Source organism: Homo sapiens, chromosome 1, assembly GCF_000001405.40.
Source record: "Homo sapiens chromosome 1, GRCh38.p14 Primary Assembly".
Lineage (NCBI taxonomy): Eukaryota > Metazoa > Chordata > Mammalia > Primates > Hominidae > Homo > Homo sapiens.
Genome location: NC_000001.11, coordinates 159,954,448 through 159,981,052, shown reverse-complemented (window position 1 = coordinate 159,981,052; position 26,605 = coordinate 159,954,448). Strand labels below are relative to the sequence as shown.

Sequence of the window (26,605 nt, the reverse complement as noted above, 5' to 3'; positions counted from 1 at the left end):
ATTCAGCCCATCACAGAAGGTAAGAGATATGCTGCCTCCACTGCCCTCTCACACATCAAGAGCCCTGGTCCCTTAGTGTATGCAGGCTTCTCCTTCCTGTGAGTTCTGCTTCTGCGTGTGACGCAAAGAAAGTCAGGTGGGTCCAAGAGATGCCAACATGCAGAGAGTGATGGAAGAGAGCAGGGAAAGCATTAGAGAGTGAACAGTAGTAAGGCTGGGCACGGTGGCTTACGCCTGTAATCCCAGCACTTTGGAAGGCTGAGGCGGGTGGATCATCTGAGATCGGGAGTTCGAGACCAACCTGACCAACATGGAGAAACCCCATCTCTACTAACAATATAAAATTAGCCGGGCATGGTGGCGCATGCCTGTAATCCCAGCTACTCAGGAGGCTGAGGCAGGAGAATCACTTGAACCTGGGAGGCGGAGGTTGCGGTGAACTGAGATCGCACCATTGCACTCCAGCCTGGGCAACAAGATTGAAACTCCATCTGAAAAAAAAAAATAGAGTGAACAGTAAGCATTAAATAGGGCTGAGCTCTGACATGAGGTGAAATTAAACCCACTTTAGCCCTTGCTCCTCAGGGATCTCTGTTGCCCATCAGTGAAGGAAGTGGGTGGGCACTTGGGCAGTGAGGTTGGGTGTCTTTCTACCACCAGTCACTTTCAGCCATGAGGTAAAGGAACGAAAGGTACAAGGCTGGTGGAGGGCGTCGGGGGATGTGGCAGAGGGGAAGAGGCTGGGAAGAGGGGTCTCAGGAGGATGGGCACCAAGCCAGATGAGAAGGCGAGTCCCCCTGACAGGAGCAGGTCCAAGTGCACAGCCCACCGTGGGGAGGTGCCTGCAGCCCAGAAGTCCCTCTTGGGAGTGTGTTCAGAATCATTGTTCTGTTGGCTGGAGAGGGATGAACCCTCCACAGCAGAAGAAAAGGAAAAGGATGGAAGACACACGTTGCTGATTGGCCTTAAACTTCCTTTGCCTTGGTTTTGCTCAGAGCATCCCAATCTTCTCCCCGACCCTAATTTTCCTCTAACTCCCCACGCCGATTCTGTGCTCCATCCAGACCTCACCACCCAAAGTTTCCTAAAACGTCCTGTGATTTTCAATCTCTGAGCCAGTTCCTTCATGTACAGTTTATTAATTTATGGCTGCCTCCAAATCCCTTCTCAATGCTATTGGTGAGACCTCCAACAGGATGGGCTATCTCCCTTCTTTAAACTCTCACAGCAACCTGACACTTCGCTTTGTGTCTCCATACGTGTTTTGTCCTGCATGGCTAGACTGTCTGGGGACAGAACTGTTTTATGCAACTCTATGTCTTCAGTTTTACTTACATATAGTAGAATTAAATACATCTTTGTTGAGTTGAATTAAAGTGAAAAAAAAAAAAAAGATTGCCTTACGTTATTTTCTCTAGGTAATTCATGGTAAAGAGTCTCATGAAGATCTCTTCCAGTCAAGAAAATATTTTTTTTGTCTACCGTACCTTGACTTTTAACTATTGCCTTTTGAAGCTCAGATTGATTTAAAGCACTTGGCTTAAATGCTAAAGCTTGCACATTTGCCAACATGAGCTCATAGTTTCATCTAAGCCTGCTTACCCAAGGAGATTTACATTTTTTCTGAACATTTATAAACATCTTAGACCAGTTTCTAAACAGAGATATGATGTGATTTCTTCTTATTTTCCTACCAGTGTTTGCATATTAAAAGAACTTGGGGAACATAGTGGCAACCAAAAAGACATCAGCGGAATTTCATGTGTGTTGGGGTGGTGTCCTAGAGAGAGGTGATTAAGAAGGGCTTTCCCAAAACAACTCAAACCGTACCACCTAGGTAGCCTTATGCTGCTCCTGCTTTGTAACCATTATTACAACCTTTCCTTACCTCCACCACTTTTGCAGGGTTTTCTGCTCATGCTAAGTGATCCACACATTCAGAAAATTGAACATTACCAAATAGAAGTTAAAATGAAACAATGCCAACAGCATTGACGAGACACATTTAATAACATACAAAGCTAATTTAGTGCCTCATAAAGAATAAGGATAAATGGATCCCTATGCCCTCAAACCAAAAACAATCTTTATTTTCACATAGTTGAATTAAGTATTTCTGGGGCCAGTGTGGGGGAAAGATGGTATGGAATGGGAGAATCCATCCTTCCTGCAAGAGGAGAAAGCCAGGGACTACTCTGTCTATATTTTTACAAGGAAATTCTTCCTTTGTTTCTAGTAAACAAACTCAGAGGCACTGATGTTGGGCTGGAACAAGGACTTTCTGGTGGGGAGGGCAGCTGGACTGCATAGACTTGAGGTTCCATTTTTGAGGTTCACCTTGCCTTGGGGTCTGTCCTTGGTTACCACCACTGATGTCTACCATGCTGGACTTTGGAGAACTTTGCTTCCACTTCAGCACACCTTGGTACCTTCAGTCAAGCTTTTATTAAAGACTAGGGAAAACAAAAGGGCAATTTAAATAAGAAAAGAGTGCCAGGAATCTGTCTTATAAGATACAGTTTATGCATGCTCATCTGTCTCCCTTCTTAGCTGCTGGCCTGTCTGGATGCCCTCTTAGCATCTGTGACCCAGGTGTCTACATTTGTCCATCTACCTACCTTAAGGTAGAGCCAGGTTCTGGAGATATTAGGAAATCTTCCTATGTGCCTGAGACCCACCTCGTCAGATCTGGAGTCCTGTCTAAAGCCACCTTTTTCCTAACAACCCCAAAGTCAAGGTCTCCTTTATGAAGTTCCCCTCGCCTGCCCCCATCTCCCACCCCTAAGTCTTGTCCTGCTTGCTTCTTCTTGGAGGACAAGGTGGTTGTCACTGAGGTCTCACCTGGCCCTTTTGTCTTGTTCCTCCTGAAGTGGGGAGGGGTATGACATGGGCTCACTCTGTGGAGACCCTGAAGCCAGGATGGCCAGGATGCAGTGCAGAAATGTTCCTATGGAACTTAATAGGAACTATGACCTGGTGGGGTGGGGCAGTGGTGGGGGCTGGCAGTTTTCAAATCTGTGTAGGAAGAGGGAGGAAGAAAGGCCACAGATCCTCCTGTATGCACCAGTCCCACTTCTAACCACTCTTTCTGTCAGGAGGTCCTTATTATCTAATCTCACCCCCTCCCTTTTCCCCATGGCAGGTCCCTGTGATGGAAAGTTTGGCGAGCCTTTGATCTCATGTTCCTGCATGTCTCCATGAGTACGCCTATGTTCATGTCCCATTCTGACCACCTGGGCTGTTTGGAAATGTCTGTCTGAGGGGACAGCTGTCTGGCTGAGGTGTAGATGGCTGGCTCCATCTTACTGAGCTCAGGCTTCTGTGCCTGTCTGCACAGGGCTGTGGTCTGGGTCTAGGCGAGAAAGCCTCAGGGTCCTTTCCCTCCCCAGTTCCTGGTGGCAAACATCTATGCCTGGTCACGTTCCGCTTTTCTTTGGTCATTTTCTTCCATTTACACCAGGCTTCTCTACTGAGTGAAGTCCTAGCCCTACCAGCAGTAGCTGAAGGATGCTGTCACTGGCCCTATAGGGAGCTAACCCTGCAGGGACATGACTAATCTTTTCTATAACTGGGGAGATGGCATGGGAGGAGGGTAGAAAAGAGACTAGAACCAATTTCTAGCAGAAAACTCTTCTTTTTCTCCTGAAGTAAAGACTACATCTGCTAACCTCACGTCTTCCAGTACTACCTGGGAACTCAGACTGTAACTACAAGGATATCAACTCAGCCATTCTTTGTCTCTCTCTAATCTTCTGCCTTCAACAAAAATGCAGGACTAGGGAAAGCAAAAAGGAAACTTAAAAAAGAAATGAGTGCCAGGAATTTGTCTTATAAGATAGGGTTTATCCTTCCTCATCTGCCTTTCTTCTTAATTTCTGACCTGTCTGGATGTCATCTTAGCATCTGTGACCCAGGTAGCTATACTTGTCCATCTACCTACCTTAAGGTAGAGCCAGGCTGTGGTGAGATTAGGAAATCTTCCCGGTCATGTTGTTCATCTTTTCACCTACTCTCCCCCTAGCTACAATCTTCTTTTCTTTCTTTCTCTTTCTTTCTTTCTTTCCTTCTTTCCTTCTTTCCTTCTTTCTTTCTCTTTCTTTCTTTCTTTCTTTCTTTCTTTCTTTCTTTCTTTCTTTCTTTTTTTCTTTCCTTCTTTCTTTCTCTTTTTTTTTAGAGAGATGGGGGTCTCAATATGTTGTCCAGGCTGGACTCAAACTCCTGGGCTCAAGGAATCTGAATAGTTAGGACTACAGGTGCTGGGCTCTGGATTCTTGATACTGTCTTCTACTCTTTACCTCCTCCCAACCATTCCCATTGTATACTGAGAAACCCAGTTCCTTAGAATCTTCAGTTGCAGGGAATGGATCCATTCTCAGGTAACTTCAAGAAAGAGAGGTTTATTGAAAGCTCTATGGGGAAATAAAGAAGATTGGAATATTTTATTTTATTTAGCTTTTTAATTGAAACATATATGTGAATATAGTAAATGCATTAAATTTTTTAAAAAAGAACAAAGAAGCACATTGTGAAAATTGTTTCTCCCTCACCCTAGCCCATGAGTTGGTTACCCAGTCTTCCCTTACATTCTAAACATTTTATATGCATATGCAAGCATACATATGTGTGTGAATATGTATGCATGTTTCTTTTTATATACAAATGGAGGTGCACTGTACACATGGCTTCACATGTTGCTTTTAGTGTTTTTCACTAACACTTTATCTTGGGCTCATTCCATACAGGTATTTATGGATCTACCTTGTTCTTTCTCATGGCTACATTATATTTCATTATATGGCTGGACCATAATTTATTTAACAAATTCCTTATTAATAACCATCTTAGTTGTTTTTGCCCTTGTGCTATTTTAAGCCATATATATTATATAGATATTCTTTATATATAAAAAGCAACAGGTTAAAAACAACTTACACACACACACACACACACACACACACACACACACTACAACCTATACTCCTTCCTTGAGTTCTGGAGTGCTCCATCCACACAGCTGGCTTCAAGCACCACCAAATGTAAATGACTCCCAAGTCTCTATCTCCAGCCCAGAACAGATCCTGAAGTTACATATAGACTTTAACTGAGGGATATCTCCACCTGGCCATGCCAAGAACATCTCATCTGAAGATGGACACATTTTAACTTACATTTTCCTACAGATCAGCGTCTTGCCCTCAATTTCCTATTATCCTGAATTCCTCCCTCTCTTTTGCCCCTCACCCTCATCAAATCTTCAAGTCTGTATCATCAAGTCTTATAGATTCTGCCTCCTTAGTGTCACTCTGATCTACGCCCTCCTTTTCACCTCACTGCCATTGTTTCAGCTGACACCTCTCTCTCTTGCCCAGGCAATTGCAATAGGCTCAGTCTTTTTCTCACCCTGTTCTGATCATTCTTTACTTGGCAGCCATCAGATCTCGAATGCAAGTTTGATTCAATTACTCCCAATTTCAAATCCCTCCTTTCCTTTCCCACTGCTCTGGTGTAGTTTGAGTTTGTCTGATTACTGCCTCCCCAGGCTTACTTCTTAGCACATCCTCTTCACAGCCTGCCTCTCCAGCCATGCCACACTCCACCAGTTCCCAGACTACTCCTGGCTGTGTCCTTGCTCATGTGGCTACATCTTGAAACAGCCTCTCCCTACATCTCCCTTATACTGAATACTTATCTTGCAAGATGAGGTCAAAGCAATCTCACCTCTTTGGGTCTCCTCCCCAGGTAGAACTAAGCAGTTCCTCTCTGTGCCCCCTCTGTCACACTTTATCTCTTTTTTCGCTTTCTACACTATAAACTAGCATATATCCGAGGGCCTGGCATGTAGAGGTACTCAATAAATGATTGATGAATGAATAAGTCAATGAATGAATAATGAATAAATCCTGCTTCTCTGCCTTCCATTGAATCAGTACCTTTGTTAAAGAGATGAGATCTCTGACGTACATATGAGTACTGAGACTCCCAGGGAGTTATCTATGTTACTGCTTGGGGAAGGAGTTCAGACCACACTTGGAAACCCAAGTGCTCTGTGGTTGGTGGCAATAGAGAAACCAGGTTTGAACACCCGGGCCTATGCTCAGGGACCTTGTGATCCTCATAAGTTCCAGGAGTGATGGAAGGTGCCTATGGTCCAGGAAGAGGCTGATTACACCTGTGTTCTTCTTGCTCATAATGGGAATGAGAAGGGAACTCTTCCATGAGCCCCATTTCTGCCATCCTTCATCATGATCCTCAGGCTTGACTCCCAGCCATGGCTGTTGGCTCTTGAGGCTACCTGACCTATGGGAGATTCCATACCTGGGGAGAGACCCTTGTCCTGCCCAATCAGGACAGAGAACGTAAGTTTAGGATGAGAACAGACAGGACGGGGCCTTTGCATGGCTGGGGTGGAAACTGAAGCCCCTGCTGGGGATCGGTATTGGTGTGGGGCATCGATGGAGTCTGGACCTCTGGGAGCCTTTAAGGAAGAAGGTAGGAGCGAGCCAGATCAGGCTCCTTCAATCCCTGGATTCTCACACGTCCGGACCTGGAGCTGTCACTGGAGGTGGGGACTATTGGGTCAGCCTGGACTGGGGCAGCATGTGAAGTGTGAAGAAATTGGAATCTGTTCAGGAGGAATAAGATAGCTACATAATTGGGATGATTCTAGCTGGAACCAAATATGTCAATGGGGAAGAAAACCCAATATATGGTAGGATCAGGGAGAGAGAAAAAGGGAGAAGAAAAGGGAAAGGATAGAGGCAGATGGGAAGAGAAGAGGAAGGAGAGAAGGAAAGGGAGGAGAGGGAGTAAAAGGAAGTCCAGGTCCTGCCCTTCTCTGGTCAGCATGAAGGACTGGAGACAGTGACACTGCACCGGTACCATCCAAGGGCCTCCATCCCCAGCAGAGGCCTTAGGCTGGAGGACAGAGGGAGAGAAGTGACTGATGGGACCTGCAGCTCCAGGGCTGCCCTGTTCCTCTGCCTTGCAGCCTGGCTGTACCTCCAAGCCTGGCCAAACCCTGTGTTTGAAGGAGATGCCCTGACTCTGTGATGTCAGGGATGGAAGAATACACCACTGTCTCAGGTGAAGTTCTACAGAGATGGAAAATTCCTTCATTTCTCTAAGGAAAACCAGACTCTGTCCATGAGAGGAGCAACAATGCAGAGCCGTGGCCAGTACAGCTGCACTGGGCAGGTGATGTATATTCCACAGACATTCACACAAACTTCAGAGACTGCCATGGTTCAAGTCCAAGGTAAGTCACCAGCTTGGGAGTTTGTGGGGCAGGAGGTGCCTCTCAGGGGTCCCGTCTCTAGAGATCAGTAGCTCTCTGGACAGGACCCCTGTCTCTGGCTGCCCCTCATGCTGGGCCAATGTGTGGGGACCCGAGGTTTCCCAAGATGTTGTCTCAATACCCCCATCTCCCCACCATGGGGGACACATGTAGCCAGGGGAAGGAGGGGGGAGATTCCTGGGAGTGGGGCACTGGGAAAAGCCTGGACCAGTCCAGGCTCACCCTTCCCCTCTGTGGACTAGAGGACCTCGAAGGCCCCCTCTGCCTCTGACTTCCAAGATTCCAGAAGGGTCTGGCTGTGTGGGAGTCATTTCAGAGCTTGTGGGTGAGGACAAGAGGACAGGTCTTGGTGATGAAACTGCCTCCCGTTGGGGTTCCCGGGCTGCAGCCTGGACTGAGTAGAAGCTCAGGCCTCAGCCTCCTGGGGCTTTATCATCCAGGACTCCCCTCCTGAGCCCTGGGCCTGCATCTCCCCAGAGCAGTTCCCACCTCCTGTACTGAGTGTCGCCCCCACTCCTGAGCCCTAAGAGGGAAGCCTGGTTACCCTGAGATGTCAAACAAAGCTGCACCCCCTGAGGTCAGCCTGGAGGCTCCTTTTCTCCTTCCACAAGGATGGCCACACCTTGCAGGACAGGGGCCCCCACCCAGAACTCTGCATCCCAGGAGTCAAGGAGGGAGACTCTGGGCTTTACTGGTGTGAGGCGGCCCCCGAGGGTGGCCAGGTCCAGAAGCAGAGCCCCCAGCTGGAGGTCAGAGTGCAGGGTAAATGAGCGAGGGAGTGGCGACGCCCCCAGGGGTCTGGGCATCATGCAGTGGGACCCCCTGGGAGGAGAGGAGTTGTGGGAAGTGTCCCCAGGAGAGGAGGGAGCCAGGGTCTTGGGTGGTCAGGCTGAGCCTCCCATCCCATGTGTGTCCCAGCTCCTGTGTCCCATCCTGTGCTCACTCTGCACCACGGTCCCGCTGACCCTGCTGTGGAAGATGTGGTACAGCTCCTCTGTGAGGCCCAGAGGGGCTCCCCTCCAATCCTGTACTTGTTCTACCTCAATGGAGAGATCTTGGGTATCTGTCCTGGGGATCACTCGGCTCCCCATGGTGGAGCTGTTTCCCTCTTGTTCCCAGTGAAGTCAGAGCAGGATGCTGGGATCTCATCCTGCAAGGCTGAGAACAGCATCTCCAGAGAGAGGAGTGAGCCCAAAAGCTCTCCCTTGTTGGTGCATCTTGTCCTTTAACTGGGTTCTGAGCCCTGGGGGCTAGGATAATGGTTCAGTCATCACTGCAACCTCAGCAGCCTGGCATGGAGTGAGGGGAGCTTGGAGGAGGCAGATGTGTGGAGGCAGAGGAATCTCAAGCGTTAGGAAAACAAGGGCAACAGGGCCCAAGCAGTGAGATGTGTGTCCTTTTCACAACCACAGAAGTTGTGGATCCTTCCAGAGAACTGGTTTCCTGTGGTCTCACCAACACTGAGCTGCCTTCTGGCTCTTGGCCTAAGACATAGGCAACTTCTCTCCAGCAGTGAGGCTGTAGGGTGTGGGTGAGGGGCGAGGCGGGGGCCAGAGCTAGAGGCACACACAGGGCACGAACAGAGAGGTGGAAGGAGCTGGAGTCTCGTGTGCATGTGGGCTTGGGAGACCTACAGGAGCCCAGAATCCTCAGCTTGGCCCTCATGACTCTCCAAGCTCTCTAGGCACCCTCCCCCCAGGGTTGTCTACGTCTCCTGCTTCCCGTTTGCTGCTGGGGTGAGCCATTGACATGGGTCTGTATGCTGTTCTGCAGAGGGAGCTCTGTGGCCTTACAGACAAGTTTTTTTGTTTTGTTTTGTGTTTTGGTGGCGGGGGTAAGGGGACAATCACAGGCCTCTGAGTTCCCCAGGACTCCTCAGAGTGCCAGGGGAGAAACAATAGCTGTTTGTCCAGGTGCGGCCTGAAGATTCACGAAAGTAGCTCTAAGGGCCTGGGTGTCAACTGTGACCCTGACCCTGCGTCCTTCCCAAATGGTCCTGCAAAGCTGCCAGGACGCCCACTTTCTACTGCACGTCCTAACCTTCTGCCTGGGAATCTTACCCAATAAAATGAGGTGATAGAACGAGTCCAAGTCAGCCTTGATGTGCTTGAGCATCTCTGCACCTTCCTTGGTCTCAGAGGACACTATGTGATATCTCTCTTCACCTCACTAAGAGCTGGGTGGCACCCTTAACCCCCCTTCTCCAACCCAGGGTACCAGCTCATAAAGGGGCTCAACGGCTATGAGCACAGAGGGTCCCTGCTAGAATCCTTCACCCTGGACTTCTCCCTGAGGGACCTTGTTCTCCAGCAGTGTCATTGTCAGTGCAGGGCAGGATTGAGGAGTCCAGTTTGATTGGTTGGTTTGTTCCTTCCTTCCTTCCTTCTTGTTGGCTTGTTCTAAAGATGAATTTTTGTTGCCTAGCGAAGAATCAGCCTTTCCCAAAGAGAGGTCTGGCCTTTGCCCTCCGCTGTGGGCTGCCGATCTCTAGGCCCTGGAATGCCATGCCTGATAAGAGTGTCTTTGTTTGTCTAAGGGCCTTGGCCATCAGACAGTTCAACAGTGTGATTTATGATGAGGGATTTATGCCAAGCACTATCATTTCTACCTCCAGAGGGACTGGAGAACAAAGGTGTCAGCCTGACCTTTGGAAGGGCCGGTGACTGACAGTCAGCCACGTGGGCAGCGTGTGATTTAGTCCTAGTAAAAACTCCGAGGCTTGGGCGAGTTTTCCTGGTTGGAAATATTGTGTGTGTATTGTTACACACTGATGCCAGAAGAGTACCTTGTCCTAACCCCATGGGAAAGGACGTACTTAGTACTTCCCTGGACTCTGTGCGCTTCTTTCCTAGGCTGATTTTAATATGTGTCCTTCCTCTGCAATAAGACATAACCATGAATATAACAGCTTTCATTGTATTCTGTGAATCCTTCTAGCAAATTATTAAAACTGAGGGTAGTTTTTGGAACTCCTTGAACTTGCAGTTGGTATCAGAAGTGAGGGCTGTCCTGTGTAGACTGTATTCTTTCTGACTGTACACTTGGCTAAACTCTCACACACGTCTTAGAAAATGTACACACTGTCGCAAGATAAAATACTAGTTAGGAAGATGAGGTTAGAAGAAAGTAGGGTAGGAAAATAAGTTGCAGCAAGGAACAAGCTCAGTATCCAAACTATGCTTTAGTGTTCTATCCATGGCTATGGGAGGGCTACAAATGTAGCTTTCTGCTTTCCAGCAGCAACTCCAAGAGGACAATAAAGTCTACTGTAAAATCACAGGGCTGCTCAGAGAAATGGCCCTGCTGTTCCTACCACTGGGAGGCATTTTTTCTCAAGAAAACACTGTGCGATGATAATGAACAGCATCTTTAGCCTTATCTTTTCCATAGCCCCTCTGAATATTCCTGCTTTATAACACTCTTTGACACAGGCCACGGTCATTGATTGCAACAAAGCATTTCAGGGGAGCAAGTCTGCACTATCCTCATATGAGGTGGCTTGGGTTTTATCTTTCTAATCATTCAGCTAAACCCAGGTTAGTGATTCTCAATGGAGGCAGAAAGCCCAACTTTGAGGACCTCTGCCAGAGTGAGCCATGATTACATATAGGAGCATATGGCATGCTTTTGTGGTTTTAAGGCTATACCAAAGGTGATAAATACTATTTTATTTATTTATTTATCTATTTATTTATTTATTGAGAAGTGTCTTGCTCTGTCACCCACACTGGAGTGCAGAGGTGCGATCACGGCTCACTGCAGTCTCCACTCCCCCTTCACCCCCGGGCTCAAGCGATCCTCCCATCTCAGCCTCCTGAGTAGCTGGGACTACAGAAGTGCACCAGTGCACCACCATGCCTAGCTAATTTTGTATTTTGGGTAGAGACAGTGTTTTGCCATGTTACCCAGGTGACTCTTGAACTCCTGGGCTCAAATGATCTGCCTGCCTCGGGCTCCCAAAGTGCTGGGATTACAGGCATGAGCCACTGCACCCAGCTAATAAACACTATTTTAAAGGATTTTAAGTGGGGTGTAGGAACATGTTTTTAAGGAAAATATTCCTCTCCCCTGTCCAGGAAATATTTTCATAAGCCTAATATGTAACTAGGTGAAAATCCAGCTATTCTAGTTGAAATGGAGATGAAAGTCCAGGAATTACACCTGCCAATGCTGCCCCATTGTTTTGCCCATCTGCAATCCCCGAGCAGAGGGGCTCCCTAGAACCCTTAAGGCTCCAAGGCATTGCCTTGGGGTTTAAGCAAAGTGCTGAGATGGGATACTCCCTCCAGCTTCTACAAGAATAGTTTATTTTTTATCATATTGAGTTTCTTGTAATATTTCCATTGAGGAAAGGTTGCATGGATTTTTTTTTAAGTTCAGCAGCCACTGTTCTAGAGGAAGGACTTAGCTGCATAGCCTTTGGGTAATACCTCATCACGTGAGCTTGGGAAAGCAAAGAGTTAGGGACTATACCCCTTCCCCCCTTATCCATCCCCCCCAGGCAGCTATCCACAGTCAGCAAAATTGGCTATCCCTAGTGCTAGAAATTGTCCATCATAGAAAACTTCTCTCCACCTCTTCTTCCTCCATCCAGAGAGTTGTTGGAGTGGTTGCTCCTTGACCCTCCACTTCTCCTTCTGTTTCCCATTTCCTCTTCTAGTAGTTTGAGGGGGAATCCCCAAGCTCTTCCCTACCTCTTCTTCTTCTTCTTTTTTTTGAGATGGAGTCTCGCTTTGTCACTCAGGCTGGAGTCCAGTGGCACAATCTCAGCTCACTGCAACCTCTACAACCTGGGTTCAAGTGGTTCTCCTGCCTCAGCCTCCCGAGTACAGGCGCCTGCCACTACACCTGGCTGATTTTTGTTTTTTTTAGTAGAAATGAGGTTTCACCATGTTGGCCAGGCTGGTTTCGAACTCCTGACCTCAGGTGATCCACCTGCCTTGGCCTCCCAAAGTATTGAGATTACAGGCGTGAGCCACCGTGCCTGGGCCTTCCCTACTTCTTAACCATTTCCATAGACTAGAAGAAAATGTCTCCATTGTTGGTGTGCTGCTACCAGGCTTCTTTCCTCTCAGAGAAGAAACCTCTCAGACATAGGAAATCCTGCCTCACAATCCAATGACTCAAACTCCGAGCCACCTTCAATGTTCAAGGTCAGAATCCCAGACAGTCCCTCTCTCCCCTACAAAGAAGGATTTGACCAAGAGAGAAGAGTACCATGGGTGCCACAAAACCATTGTAACTGGCAGGGTATTTGGGGAACTTGATAGGGAAGAGAGACGATTTTGCATGTGATAATGGAAAATATTTAATGGGAAGGAGAGGAGTGAGTAGCCCTGAGAAAAGAGAAAATGAGATTGCCTTCTGAGTCTCAAGGTGCTAAGTAAATACTTGGTACATCAGAGATGAGGCATGCACGCTATCCCTAAAGAATTACAAAAATGAGATGGGGTGGTGTGAACAGTTCTCAAAAGAGTAAGTATGAGAGAATGTACCTCAACACAGTAAAATCCATATACAACAAGCCCACAGCTGATATTATACTCAATGGAGAAAAGTTGAAAGCTTTTCTTCAAATATCAGAAACACAACAAGGATGCCCACTTCCACTACTCGTTTTCAACGTAGTTCTTGAAGTCCTAGCCAGAGCAATTATTCAAGAGAAAGAAATAAAAGCCATCTTAATAGTAAAGGAAGAAGTGAAATTGTCTTCATTTGCTGATGAAATGATCTTATATATATAAAAAACTCTAAAAATCAAAAACCCTTAGAACTGATAAACAAATTCCATAAAGTTGCAGGATACAAAATCAACATATAAAAATTAGTGGCATTTCTGTATGTTAATAACAAGCTATCCAAAAAGAAAATTAAGAACGATCCCATTTACAATAGCAACAAAAGATAAAATAAAATAGTTAGATGTAAATTTAACTAAGGAGGTGAAAGACTTATATACTGAAAACTATAAAATACTAATGAAAGAAATGAATGAAAACACACATAAACGGCAAGATATTCCATGTTCATGGATTGGAAAAGTTAATACTGTTATAATGTCCATATTAACCCAAAACAATCTACAGATTCAAGGCAATCTCTATTAAAATTCCAATGCCACTCTTCGCGAAATAGAAAAACAATCCTTAAGTTCGTAGGGAACAACAAAAGACCACAAATGGCCAAAACAATTTTGAGCAAAAATAACAAAGCTGGAGGCATCACACGACCTGACTTTAAAGTATATTATAAGGAAATTGTAATCAAATACTGGCATAAAAACAGATCCATCAACCAATGGAACAGAAATAAACCAATGCATTTATAGTTGATTGATTTTTGACAAAGGTTCCAAAAGCCTACAATGAGGAAAGGACAATCTATTCAATAAATGGTGTGGGAAAACTGGTTATCCACATTCAGAAGAATGAAATTAGATCTTTATCTTACACCATGCATAAAAATCAACTCAAGGGAGGGATAGCATTAGGAGAAATAACAAATGTAAGACAAGTTGATGGGTGCAGCAAACCAACATGGCACATGTATACCTGTGTAACAAACCTGCACATTGTACACATGTACCCTAGAAGTTAAAGTATAATAAAAAAAACTCAAAACGGGAAAGACTTTAATGTAAGACTTGACACTATAAAACTACTAGAAGAAAGCATAAGGGGAAACCCTCATTACATTGGTTTGGACAAGAATTTTTTGGATTTGACTCTGACACCTCAGGTAACAAAAGCAAAAATAAACAAATGGGATTGCATAAAACTAAAAAGTTTATGCATAGCAAAACAAAAACAAAAACAAACAAAAAAACAAAAACAACAAAGTGAACAGACCCACAGAATGGGAAAAAATATTTTCAAACTATACATCTGATAAGGAGTTAAAATCCAAAATATATGAGGAATCCAAACAACTCATTAGCAAGAAAACAAGTAATGATTAAAAAATGGGCAAATGACTAGAACAGACACTTCTCAAAAGAAGGCATACAAATGGCTAACAGGTTCATTAAAAAATGCTCAGGATCAGTAATCACTAAGTAAATGCAAATTAAAACCACAATGAGGTATCACCTCACACCTGTTAGAATGGCTTTTATCAAAATGATAAAAGATAACATGTGTTGATGAAGACACAGAAAAAAGGGAACACTTGTACACTGTTAGTAGGAGTGTAAATTAGTACAGCTATTATGGAAAACAGTATGGAGGTTCCTCAAAAAACTAAAAATGTAACTTCCATATGATCCAACTATCCCACTTCTGAGAATATATCCAAAGGAATTAAAATGGCTGTGTTGAAAGGATATCCCTTTAACATGAACTCCCATGTTTATTATAGCATTATGTACAATAGCTAAGATGTGGACTCAATCTAAATGTTCATCAGTGGATAAATAGATAAAGAAAATGAGGTGTATACACACAATGGAATACTAATCAGCCTTTAGAAAGAATGAAATTCTGTCATTTTGGACAACACAAATGAATCTAGAGGATACTATGCTAAGTGAAATAAGCCAGGCACAGAAAGGTAAATACTGCATGATCTTATTTAGATGTGGAATATAAAAAAAGTTGAATTTGTAGAAGAATAATGGATCCCAGAGGCAGTGGGCAGAGGAGGAGTGAAGGAATGGGGAATTACTGGTCTGAGGGTACAAAGTTTCAGCTAAACAAGAGGAATAAGTTTTGAGATCTACTGCACAGCAGGATGACTGTAATCAATAATAATATGTTGTATATTTCAAAATAACTAAAAGTGTAATTTCAAATATATCACCACAAAAATATCAAGGAAGTGAAGTGATAGATATGTTAATTAGCTTGATTTAATCACTTGGAATTGTAGACATATATCAAAACATCACATTGTACTATATAAATGTAATATAATTATGATTTGTTAATTAAGCATAATTTATATCTTTTTAAAAAGAAACATTTTAATATGGGACTAAGGAAGGTGAATAGCCCTGGAAAAGGAGAAAATGAGATTGCCTTCTGAGTTCCAAAGTATTAAGACAATACATAGTGGATCAAAGATGAGGTATGCAAATTATCCCTAATGACACAAATAATCAAATGAAGGTACATACCTTATTAGAAAAATGAGGTGGGTGGTGTGGGCCCATTGCAAAAGGAGAGTCATAGAAGTACACACCCTGGCAGTGCCTATTCAAGTTCTGTCTGGGGACTCTGTCAGCCAGATGCAGTATCCAGGCAACCTTACAGAAGGAGCCTCGCTGGAGATGGATACCATAGATTGTCATCAGAGTGTTGAATCTTAGCTCATCTCTTTTCCTCTAGCACCATGTTCCCTAGGCAGCCTTCTGTTGACAACTCCCCAAACTGACTGTGTACAGGGAGGGAATGTCAGGGCGATGGAGCTGCAACTGGCCTATTTGATCAGAACACTCTAACCAAAGGCTTCTTGCCCCCATCCCTTGGTGTTCCTTTATCCTGCCTTGTTTTTCCTCACGGTACTTTATAAAGTGTTCTGATCAGACGGTACAGATCTGTTTGTTGTGTATTGCTTTCCCCCAACCTTGACTCTGACAATAATGTAAGCTTCGCGTTTTCCTGTTCACTGCTGTGTCCCACACCTAGAACAGTGCCTGGCATTTAATTGAAGCTTGATAAATAATTGTAGGATGAATGGCTAATTTTATATGTCAGTTTGATGACATCTCTGATAAAATGAGGCAGCATTCCAGATTCTGATCAACTCTGGGACATTGATGAGTTAGAGTTTGAGCCTGTATTGTGAAAAGTGCTGAATTAACTAAGAAAAATGGCATCGTGTGCAGACCCGTCTGGGTGGCCCAGGGCTTCCCTCAAGCCACTCCCCTCTGTTTCCTTTGTGCTTTCTTTGTGTGCCTCCAGTCTCAAATACAAATTAATAACAGCAAAGGAATACAAATACACATTATTGATGATGACAATAATAATAACACTGAGGGCTTTCTATATGCCAGGTATAGTTTTGTTACTTCTCAAATTTGTTTAATCAAGTAAAATCCTGCCAACAAGACACCGGGAGACCCGAGTTTTGGCCCCAGGTTTGCCGTTAAACTGTGACCTTGAGGGAGTCTCTCCACCACTCCGAACCTCTGGTTTTTGTTTGCTGTTTGTTTGCTTTTTAGTTTTTAATTTGTGAAATAAAGGGTTGGACAAGATCCGTAGATTCTAAACTTTTTTCTTTTAGCGAGAGCACACCATTTTCAAACAAGTTCTGCATCAGAACTCCCTGTGTGAAAAGATAAAAGCAGGCTCTCTGTGGTTGAAGCTCCCTGGCTTTGCACCTGCTTCCCTGCGGCAGTCCTTGAGACAGCTCCTCAGAAAGCCCAGGAGAACAGATTAAAAGCTCCCGGAGCCCCTCTCATATTCTCCAAAGGCCAGACCAAGAATGAAGCAGAGTGTTGTTTCATGGCTTTACTTAGGGGGAAAGAAACCCTTTGTGATTGGAAACAAAAGATATCACTGGCTGGGGAACTTCCTCTCTGCTCCAACAGAACAGAAGAGCAGGTGAAGTGTAGTGATTCCCAAACTTTAGCTTAGAGTAGAATCACTGGGGGACCTTGATAAGTAGGTGGATTCACAAGCCACACTCTGCTTTCTCCCATCATGACTCAGTGGGTCCAAATCAGTGTTTCTGTCTTTTTTGTTTGTTTGTTTGTTTTTTGAGACAGAATCTTGCATTGTCACCTAGGCTGGAGTGTAGTGGCGTGATCTCTGCTCACTGCAACCTCTGCCTCCCAGGTTCAAGCGATTCTTCTGCCTCAGCCTCATGAGTAGCTGGGATTACAGGCACTCGCCACCTTGCCCAGCTAATTTTTTGTATATTTAGTAGAGATGGGATTTGACTATGTTGGCCAGGCTGGTTTTGAACTCCTGACCTCGTGATCTGCCCGCCTCGGCCTCCCAAAGTGCTGGGATTACAGGTGTGAGCCACTGCGCCTGGCCCAAATAAGCATTTTAACTAGCTCTCAGCTTGATTATGATGCAGGTGGTATGAAACCTACATTTTGAGATCAATAAGCATCAGGGAGTCACAGGACATGCAATCAAGAAGAACATGAGCCGAGTCCATTTTAGGAAAGAAGGGCAGACACATTGTACTTAAGAGGTAAGTTGAGGAAAGGGTATGTATGTGCATGAACCAATCTGAGATGTGTGAAGCCTGAGAGACAAGGAATGGGTTGCCCTTACAGTGTGGTTAAGGGGATCAGCCCAGCATGTTCCATCTCTTCATATGTAACAGGCTGATCTGGTGAACAGGTGACTGGCATGGAAAACACCGAGCTGGGTTGTACCTCCCAACAGCAATGCTTGCTGTCTCTTTAGACTGTGGGCTGATTGGTGCTGCCAGCTAACGTTCTTGAATAAACCTATTCTCGTGTCTTATGTTAGAGACTTCCTGTGTATTCTCTTCAATAATTACAGACCCTGGCCAATTACCAAGGGGCCCCAGGTCTTTCTAATGCCAAAGCCCACTGTCTTTATGCTTAACCAACCTTCAGTAATAACCATGACTCACATTCATTGAGCCCTCACCATGTGCCAACTCCATGCCGAATGCTTTCTGCCATTAGTTCATCTGATTTTCCCAACCACCCTATAAAGCGGGTATTGTGAGTATTCCATTCTGCAGACGAAGGAACCCAAGTAGTTTGGTTCCAGAGGCATGCTCTTCGACACTGCCCACCCACCATCTCCTTCTAAATCTTTAGGGCAATTTGTTGACTCAAAAAGGTAAGGGCAGCCTTGAACTCTTAAAGTTTAGCTGTTTCACTATGATTCCTTTAGTAAGATTTTGCTTCTGCTCTAGGGTAACCATAACTTATCCTCCAAACTAGAGCACTTTCTGAGAGTGAAAGGGGGCACTCTTAATAATTAGGGCAGGATAACAGGCTTACATGAGGACCTTCCTAAGAAACCTTAACACACAGTTACCTCACCTGCTCCATTCTCTTGAAATGCCTGCCTTTCACGTAAACCTTCAGTTTTAGCAGATAACTTTGACTCCACTTCAGAGAAAATCGAAGCCACTGTGCAGGCCTTCCCTTAACTGCTTGTCTCATACAAACCTATCTGCATCTCTGCCCATTTTCTTCTCATTATAGCCGAGGCCCATCTTGTAATCCAAGGTCAGTTCCTTTCCCTTGGTTCTGAATCTCAGTTCCCTCCTGTCTTCTGGGTGTGTGTGGGGTGGGGTGGGGTCAGGGAGAGGCCTTGTTCCATTATCATCACCTTTTCCCCAAATCTTCAACCCCTATTCCTACTGGATCTGCTCGTCAGCATTTAAATATGTTCAAATCTCCGCCGCCCACCTCGGCCTCCCAAAGTGCTGGGACTATAGGCGTGAACCGCCGCCCCGGGCCAAAGGTAAACTTCTTGAGTGCATAACTTATAAACTCAGTAGGTCTATATACCCCCAGTGAGCCGCCTGCAGTCCATCTTTGTAGCCTCATCTCCACTCTTAAAACGAAATCATTGGCAATAAAATTATCCCTCTACCCCATGTTTTCCCTTTGCCTCCCATCCTCTGTTCCCCTTGCCGTCAAAGGTAAACCTTTTTTTTTTTTGAGATGGAGTCTTGCTCTGTCCCCAGGCTGGAGTACAGTGGCGCTATCTTGGCTGACTGAAACCTCTAGCTCCTGGGTTCAAGCAATTCTCCTGCCTCAGCCTCCCAGGTACCTGGCATTATAGGCATGTGCCACCACGCTGGGCTAATTTTTGTATTCTTAGTAGAGACGGGGGTTTCACCATGTTGGCCGGGCTGGTCTCGAACTCTTGACCTTGTGATCCGCCCGCCTCCGCCTCCCAAAGTGCTGGGATTATAGGCATGAGCCGCCACGCCCGGCCAAAGGTAAACTTCTTGAGTGCATAACTTATAAACTCAGCAGGTCTATACGCCCCCAGTGAGCGGCCTGCAGTCCGTCTTTGTAGCCTCATCTCCACTCTTCTCTGCCTCCATCTCTCGGCCCTGCCTGTGTGGGCTTCTTCTGTACTTCAGTGTGCCCAGCTCTCTCCCCCACCCCAAGGATCCTGCACAGGCTGCTCCCTCTGCGAGGAACACTCTTTTCTCCTTTGTTTCACAATGACTCCTTTGGGTGCACTTCAACAATTTGCAGACGCTTACAGTTCTCTCCATCCACCTTCATGGTTCAATTGAATAATCACCTTTTTAACACTGACACTTAAAAAAGAAAAAGAAAAGAAAGGAAAAAGAAACCATATATCAAGTGCACAGGCTGGCCTCAGAATAGGATAGAAGACACATGCAGATCTCAACACACATTGCCTCGGGAGGGAGGTGATTTATTTGGAACTTACTTGTTAATGGCTCCTCCAGTACCATGGCTCTGCCGTGTGGGTCCCCAGCTTTCCAGATCCAAAGGGAAGCTAAGGAGAAAGTTGGAGCAAAGGTTTGGCCTTTTATTATCTTTCCTCCATTCTCTCCACCACAGCAGGACCAGCTTTTCACTGCAACCTCTTTCCCAAGGCTGTTACATCAGAATTGGGGTGTGGGTCTGATTTCTCATTGGCTTAATTGCTCCTAAAGATCCAGGAAGAAGAGAGAGAAAGTCTAAACATTACTGGTGCAACTACTTTATTATATATAATAATGTCATAGTTTGGTCTCTCTCCAAAGCACACCCTTAGATAAAAACTTGGGTGGAGGACGTCTTTCTGGGAGATAATCCAAGAAGAAAGAATGAGGAAAATGAGACAAGGAAGGGAGGAAAGCCAAAGAAAAGGGTGTGTTAATAGTTGATTACCGTTGTGGACAACTGGGGCCCAATCCCTCTGAGGAACCAGGGAGAACATGCCTCAGAATTGCTCATGGAATAGGGCAGGGAGGCTGGAACATTTATCCACGTTTACTCACCAACATGGCACTCCCTCAGCTGCACCCCCCCAACCTGCATACTTCCCAGTTGCTTGGCTGAGTGGCCTTCCACTGTCATAGGGAAAGCCTGGAAGTGGCCGGGGGCAGTGACTCATGCCTGTAATCCCAGCACTTTGGGAGGCCAAGGCGGGTGGATCACGAGGTCGGGAGTTCAAGACTAGCCTGGCCAACATGGTGAAACCCGTCTCTACAAAAATTAGCCAGGCGTAGTAGCATGCGCCTGTAATCCCAGCTACTTGGGAGGCTGAGGTGGAAGAATTGCTTGAACCTGGGAGGTGGAGGTTGCAGTTAGCCGAGATGGTACCACTGCACTGAAGCCTTGGCAACAGATCGAAACTCCGTCTCAAAGGAAAAAAAAAAAAAAAAAGATCATCAGAGAAAGCCTGGAAGCAGAAAAACAGACTGCCCAGGTGCAAACTTCATGGGGCACTCCATCATGAAACTGCCCACACAGCAGTGTAGATGCAGCCATAAAAAATGATGAGTTTATGTCCTTTGTAGGGACATGGATGAAGCTGGAAACCATCATTCTCAGCAAACTATCGCAAGGACAAAAAACCAAACACCGCCTGTTCTCACTCATAGGTGGGAATTGAACAATGAGAACACTTGGACACAGGATGGGGAACATCACACACCGGGGACTGTTGTGGGGTGGGGGGAGGGGGGAGGGATAGCATTAGGAGATATACCTAATGCTAAATGACGAGTTAATGGGTGCAGCACACCAACATGGCACATGTATACATATGTAACAAACCTGCACGTTGTGCACATGTACTCTAGAACTTAAAGTATAATATATATATATATATATAAAGAAGTCAGGTGGATAAACAGGCTGTGCTACAGGGAACCCTAAGTGTCTGCTACAAGCAAGATGTTAGAATGGGTCTCTTCCTGCCTTAGTTACGCTACGCTAAGCTGACAGTGTGATGGGTATCAGGAGATCAAAGGCAATGTGAGGGAGATCTGCCCTTGAGGAACGTACAATGGGAGTCAAGGAGAACTGGTGTCACTGCCTTTGGAACCCCCTCATCTATGGATGGAGGGCTGAGAAAGGGAGATCAAGAAAGAGACTTCTTTGGAAAGAACTTTACTGTGAGTCCACACCTCTTCCCCAGGGTATAGTGATGTCACCTCTGACCACAAGCCAAGTAAAGAAGACTTCAAGGGGAGGGCTTAGGGAGCTTTGGAATGTGGCCCCGCAAGTGAGAGTCAGAGGCGACAGGCACCTATGACAGGTCTGGGAGAGTTAAAACCGGTAATGGGCTCCCATGAGGGAGCCAGGAGTATGGTGCCATGTTGTAGATCCTAGGATCTGCCAGGGCAAGGAATGTTTGTCATGGGTAGCTAAGGGCCACCCATGAGACACAGCCTGCTTGGTTGTCCTGGGTGCTGTACGATAGGGGCATTTGGACAGGCCTCTGGGGAGGAGGAGATGAGATGTGTGGCCAGATGTCCAGGGGCTGATGAAGGAGTTGCAAAGGACCACCCAGAATAGAGATGCATCCACCTCCTGGTCAGGGGTAAGAGAGAGGGAACCAGTGGTAAGAGAGAAACTTAACCAGCAAAACTTCCCTTAACAAAAAATAGTTCATCTTAGCCATCTGTGAGGCCCACAGAGTGCAAAGCCACTCAGCTAGGTAAGAAGAGTTTTAACACCTCCCCAACCTCTCCATCCTCCTGGAGTGAGGAAACCTGAGTTGGGGGAGGAGAGTTGAGGGGAAGGAGGAGAACAGATTCAGAGAGGCAAGCTGAGCATAGTAGAGAGCAGAGACTGCTCCCTCCCCGACTACCAGCCTCTAGCCTGGAAGACCTAAGCCAGGGTAAGGGAGATTATTTGATAATAAGGTAAGTTTGGAATTTTGAATATTACATGGCACAGGAAGTACTCATTTCTAAACCGAGACCAGTACTCATTTCTGGACTGAGACCGAGGCCAGAGTTCACATCTGAGGCAGAGAAGACTACCCCACTGAATAAGATTAAAAGGGCAGTGAGAGAAAAAAATTGAAGTTCTATTTGAATCACAATCCATTAGCAAGAATGAAAATTACACTTGGCTAGGCACTGTGGCTCACACTTGTAATCCCAGCACTTTGGGTAGCTGAGGCAGGAGGATCCCCTGAGTCCAGGAGTTTAAGACCAGCTTGGGCAACATAGCCACATCCCATCTCTATAAAAAAAAATTAAAAAACTTAGCTGGGCATGGTGGTGCTCACCTGTAGTCCCAGCTAGTTGGGAGGCTGAGATGGGAAGATCACTTGAGCCCAGGAGGTTGAGGCTGCAGTGAGCCATGATTGCACCACTGCACTCCAGCCTGGGTGATAGAGCAAGACCCTGTCTCTTAATAAAAAAAAAAAAAAGTGAAGAAACGAAAATTAGACTTGACAATCATGCTCTCAGAAGTGACTTTCTCCACACTGGACTCGGAGAGCTCAGTGGGGTGGAAATTATTTTCCTCTCCTCAATAGGCATCATGGACTGTTTATGCCTACTTATGGAGACAGGTTTAATAAATCTGAACAGTTACCTTCTGGCTATCAGCATACTCACTGTAGCAGCCTCGGCTCCCCCTTCAAGAGTAAACACATTTTTGGCTGCAAGAAGTGCAGTTAACCGACAGGCTCTAGCTGCAGCACCTTCGGGATCTACGCTGTTCCCGGCAGCCCCAGCCCATGGCTGTGCACAGCAAGAGTCCTGGCACCAGGACAGTCTTGCACAGCTAGAGTCCCAGTGCCTGGACATGCCTGCCCACCACAGGCCTTCTCTAACGGGCAGTCGGTGCCAGAGCTCCCTGCTAAGTCAGCTGAGACTGTGAGACGCATCAAGGTCTGAGGCCCTTCTGGCTCCACCTGCTTCCTTCTCCATTTATCTTTTCCAGGCCTTTCCCCACATTAAAACTCTTTATCTCTGAACTCCAGCTTCTGCTTCTCAGATAATCTAACGGTATTCTCACCCTTTAAGCTCTGAGCATTATACTCATGACCCTGTTTTCTTTTCTTTCCTTGCTTTTATTTTTTATTTCTATTTTTTAATTCACAAAAATTTATACCTATTTATGGTGTACAACATGTTGTTTTAAAATATGAATATGTTGTGAAATGGCTAAATCGAGCTAATTAACGTAAGTGTTGTCTTATACAACTATCTTTTTTTGTGGTAAGAACACTGAAAATCTACTGTCTTAGCAATTTTTTTTTTAGATGGAGTCTCGCTCTGTCGCCAGGCTGGGGTGCAGTGGCACGATCTCGGCTGACTGCAACCTCCGCCTCCCAGGTTCAAGCAATTCTCCTGCCTCAGCCTCCTGAGTAGCTGGGACTACAGGCGCCCGCCACCACACCTGGCTAATTTTTGTATTTTTAGTAGAAGCAGGATTTCACCATGTTGGCCAGGATTGTCTTGATCTCTTGACCTCGTGATCCACCCGCTTCGGCCTCCCAAAGTGCTGGGATTATAGGTGTGAGCCACTGTGCCTGGCCTGTTTTAGCAATTTTTGAGAATACAATACATTGCTATTAACTGTAGTCACCATATGGTATGATAGATCTCTTGAACTTATTCCTCCTATCTGACTGACTTTTGAAATCTTTCCACCAATATTTCTCCAATCCCCACCCCTCCCACAGCTTCTGGTAACCACCACTCTACTCTCTACTTGTAGTTCAATCTTTTTTTTTTTTTTGTCTTTTTTTTTTTTTTTTGAGACAGAGTCTCGCTCTGTCTCCCAGGCTGGAGTGCAGTGGCACGATCTCGGCTCACTGCAACCTCCGCCTCCCGGATTCACGCCATTCTCCTGCCTCAGCCTCCCGAGTAGCTGAGACTACAGGCACCCGCCACCACGCCCGGCTAAGCTTTTTTGTGTTTTTTAGTAGAGATGGGGTTTCACCCTGTCAGCCAGGATGGTCTTGATCTCCTGACCTTGTGATCCCCCCGCCTCGGCCTCCCAAAGTGCTGGGATTACAGGTGTGAGCCACCGTGCCTGGCCTAGTTTAACCTTTTTATACATTCCACATTAAGTGAACTTATGTGGTATTTGTCTTTCTGTGTCTGGCTTATTTCACTAAACATAATGTCCTCCAGGTTCATCCATGTTGTTGTAAATGGTAGCATTTCCTTCTTTTTGTTGTTGTTGTTGTTTTGTTTTGTTTTGCTTTGCTCCCTCTCAACTTACCACCCGCTACTCAGCTTTCCTCACTCCAGGAGGATGGGGAGGTGTCAAAACTCTTCTTACCTAGCTGAGTGGCTTTGCACTCAGTGGGCCTGGAGGATGGCTAGGATGCACTATTTTCTGTTAAGGGCAGTTTTGCTGGTTAAGTTTTGCTGGTTCCCTCTCTCTTACCCCTGGCTGGGAGTAGATGCATCTCTATTCTGGGTGGTCTCTGCTGGAGTGCAGTGGCATGATCATAGCTCACTGCACCCTCAAACTCCCGGGCTCAACAATCCTCCCACCTCAGCCTCACATATAGCAAGGATTACAGGCATGCATCACCATGCCCTGATCATGTTTAAAAATTTTTTTTGTAGACATGGGGTCTTTCTATGTTGCTTAGGCTGGTCTAAAATTCCTGGCCTCAAGGGATCTTCCTGCCTTGGCCTCCCAAAGCGCTAGGATCATAGGCATGAGCTCCCTTGCCCAGCCTCCTTCTTTGTTTAAGGATGGATAGTATTCCATTGTGTATATATCTACAATTTCTTTACACATTCATCCATTGATAGACACTTAGGTTGATTCCATATGTTGGCTCTAGTGAATAGTGCTGCAATAAGCGTGGAGTGCAGATACCTCATTAACATACTGATTTCATTTCCTTTGGATGTATACCCAACAGTGGGATTGCTGGATCTAATTTTATTTGTTAAACAGATTTATTACATAAAAACGTTTTATACTCAGACTGAAATCTGGTTCACCTTTAAGAAAAAATTCTAATCCCTCAGGTTTTATACTCATAAATTGAAATTTAAGAACTACTCACTTCATTATCTTCTTCACTAAGCAGATTCTACCAATCTTTGAAGAACTAAGGTCTCATCTTAAATATCTCTCCTTGATAGCTTTTCCCCAACCCTCCTGACTCCAACTTTGCCAAATCGCCTTATTATAGGCTCCTTCAATTATTCCTTTGGTAAGATTCATCAAACTTGTAGTTACTTGTCCAATGTCAATTGTTAGCATTATGAGCTCCATGAAGTCACGATCTAAAATTCTTGGTCACTGTTAATTCCCCAGCACTTAAGACAGTGTATGGACCATAGAAGCTACTCAATAAACATTTAACAGATTTCTGAATTTGCTAACCTAAAACTAGGAAATGTTGGCACAAGACCAAAGCTGAATACGTCTTCCTCTATTGTTCCCTTGGTCTTGAGACACCACTCTTCACAGCACAGACTCATAAAATTGATTATTAGAAGAAACTTAAAGATTATCCAGTCTGAGAATCCATCTGATGGCAGAGATGTTGCAGATAATCCAAGCAAGTGATTGTCCTCTTAGCTTGAATACTAGGGACAGAAGCTACTTTCTAAGGCAGCCCATTGCATCCAGAACAGCTTTGACTGCCAGGAAGCTATTTAATAACCCTGATCCTCTGCAGTCTCTTCTTGAATCTGAATTCATATAAGTTGATCAACATTGTATTCTCACAAAACGATTTAAAGTCTTTTCATAATATGAACAACATAGATCAACTCTCTGATCAAACTACTTTTTTTTTTCTTCTCTCTTTTTTTTTTTTTTGCTTTGAGACAGAGTCTTGCTCTGTCACCCAGGCTGGAGTGCAGTGGCACAATCTTGGCTCTCTGCAACCTCCACCTCCTGGGTTCAAGTGATTCTCTTGCCTCAGCCTCCTGAGTAGCTGGCATACAGGGGCACGCCACCATGCCCAGCTAATTTTTGTATTTTTAGTAGAGACGGGGTTTCACCATGTTGGCCAGGCTGGTCTCAAACTCCTGACCTCAGGTGATCTGCCTGCCTCGGCCTCCCAAAGTGCTGGGATTCCAGATGTGAGCCATTGCACCCGGCCAAACTGCTTTCTTAAAGAGGATTGAATCAAATGTTTTTCCCCTGCGAATAGCCTCTCAGGTGGGAACATAACTAGCTTTAAATAAAAAGGCTTAATCATTCATCCATTATAAAGCTATCAATTGAGTGCAGACACATGTCTAGTATGGGGCCAGCAATAATGGGACATACACAGGAAATGAAAGATGAAGTCTGTCTGGGGAGATATAGATGTTTATAAGATCAAATGATCACAGCAACATAGGAATTACCCAGAGAGAGCTAGGGAAGAATATCCTGGGAGCCAAATAACAGGATAGGGAATGTTCTACGAGTTCGGGGCATGCAGTACGTGCGGGGACCTGGGGCGG

At 45.4% G+C, this 26,605-nt stretch overlaps 1 protein-coding gene, 1 long non-coding RNA gene and 1 pseudogene across 2 annotated transcripts in view; 2 read left to right on the top strand and 1 right to left on the bottom strand.

The window, feature by feature from the left end:
• Positions 1-26,605, top strand: part of SLAMF9 (SLAM family member 9) — a 32,493-nt gene that overhangs the window by 2,932 nt on the left and 2,956 nt on the right. Inside the window, exon 2 of the mRNA XM_017002756.2 lies at positions 7,126-7,255. Coding sequence (XP_016858245.1) covers positions 7,126-7,255 — 130 coding nt within the window. The remainder of the gene's footprint in view (positions 1-7,125; positions 7,256-26,605) is intronic.
• Positions 1,967-19,829, bottom strand: LINC01133 (long intergenic non-protein coding RNA 1133). Its single transcript, NR_038849.1, has 3 exons — positions 19,648-19,829; positions 3,941-4,409; positions 1,967-2,453 (listed from the first exon to the last, which is right to left on the bottom strand). It is a non-coding gene; the product is annotated as a long intergenic non-protein coding RNA 1133 (long non-coding RNA).
• FCRL6P1 (Fc receptor like 6 pseudogene 1) lies at positions 6,922-8,056 on the top strand (annotated as a pseudogene).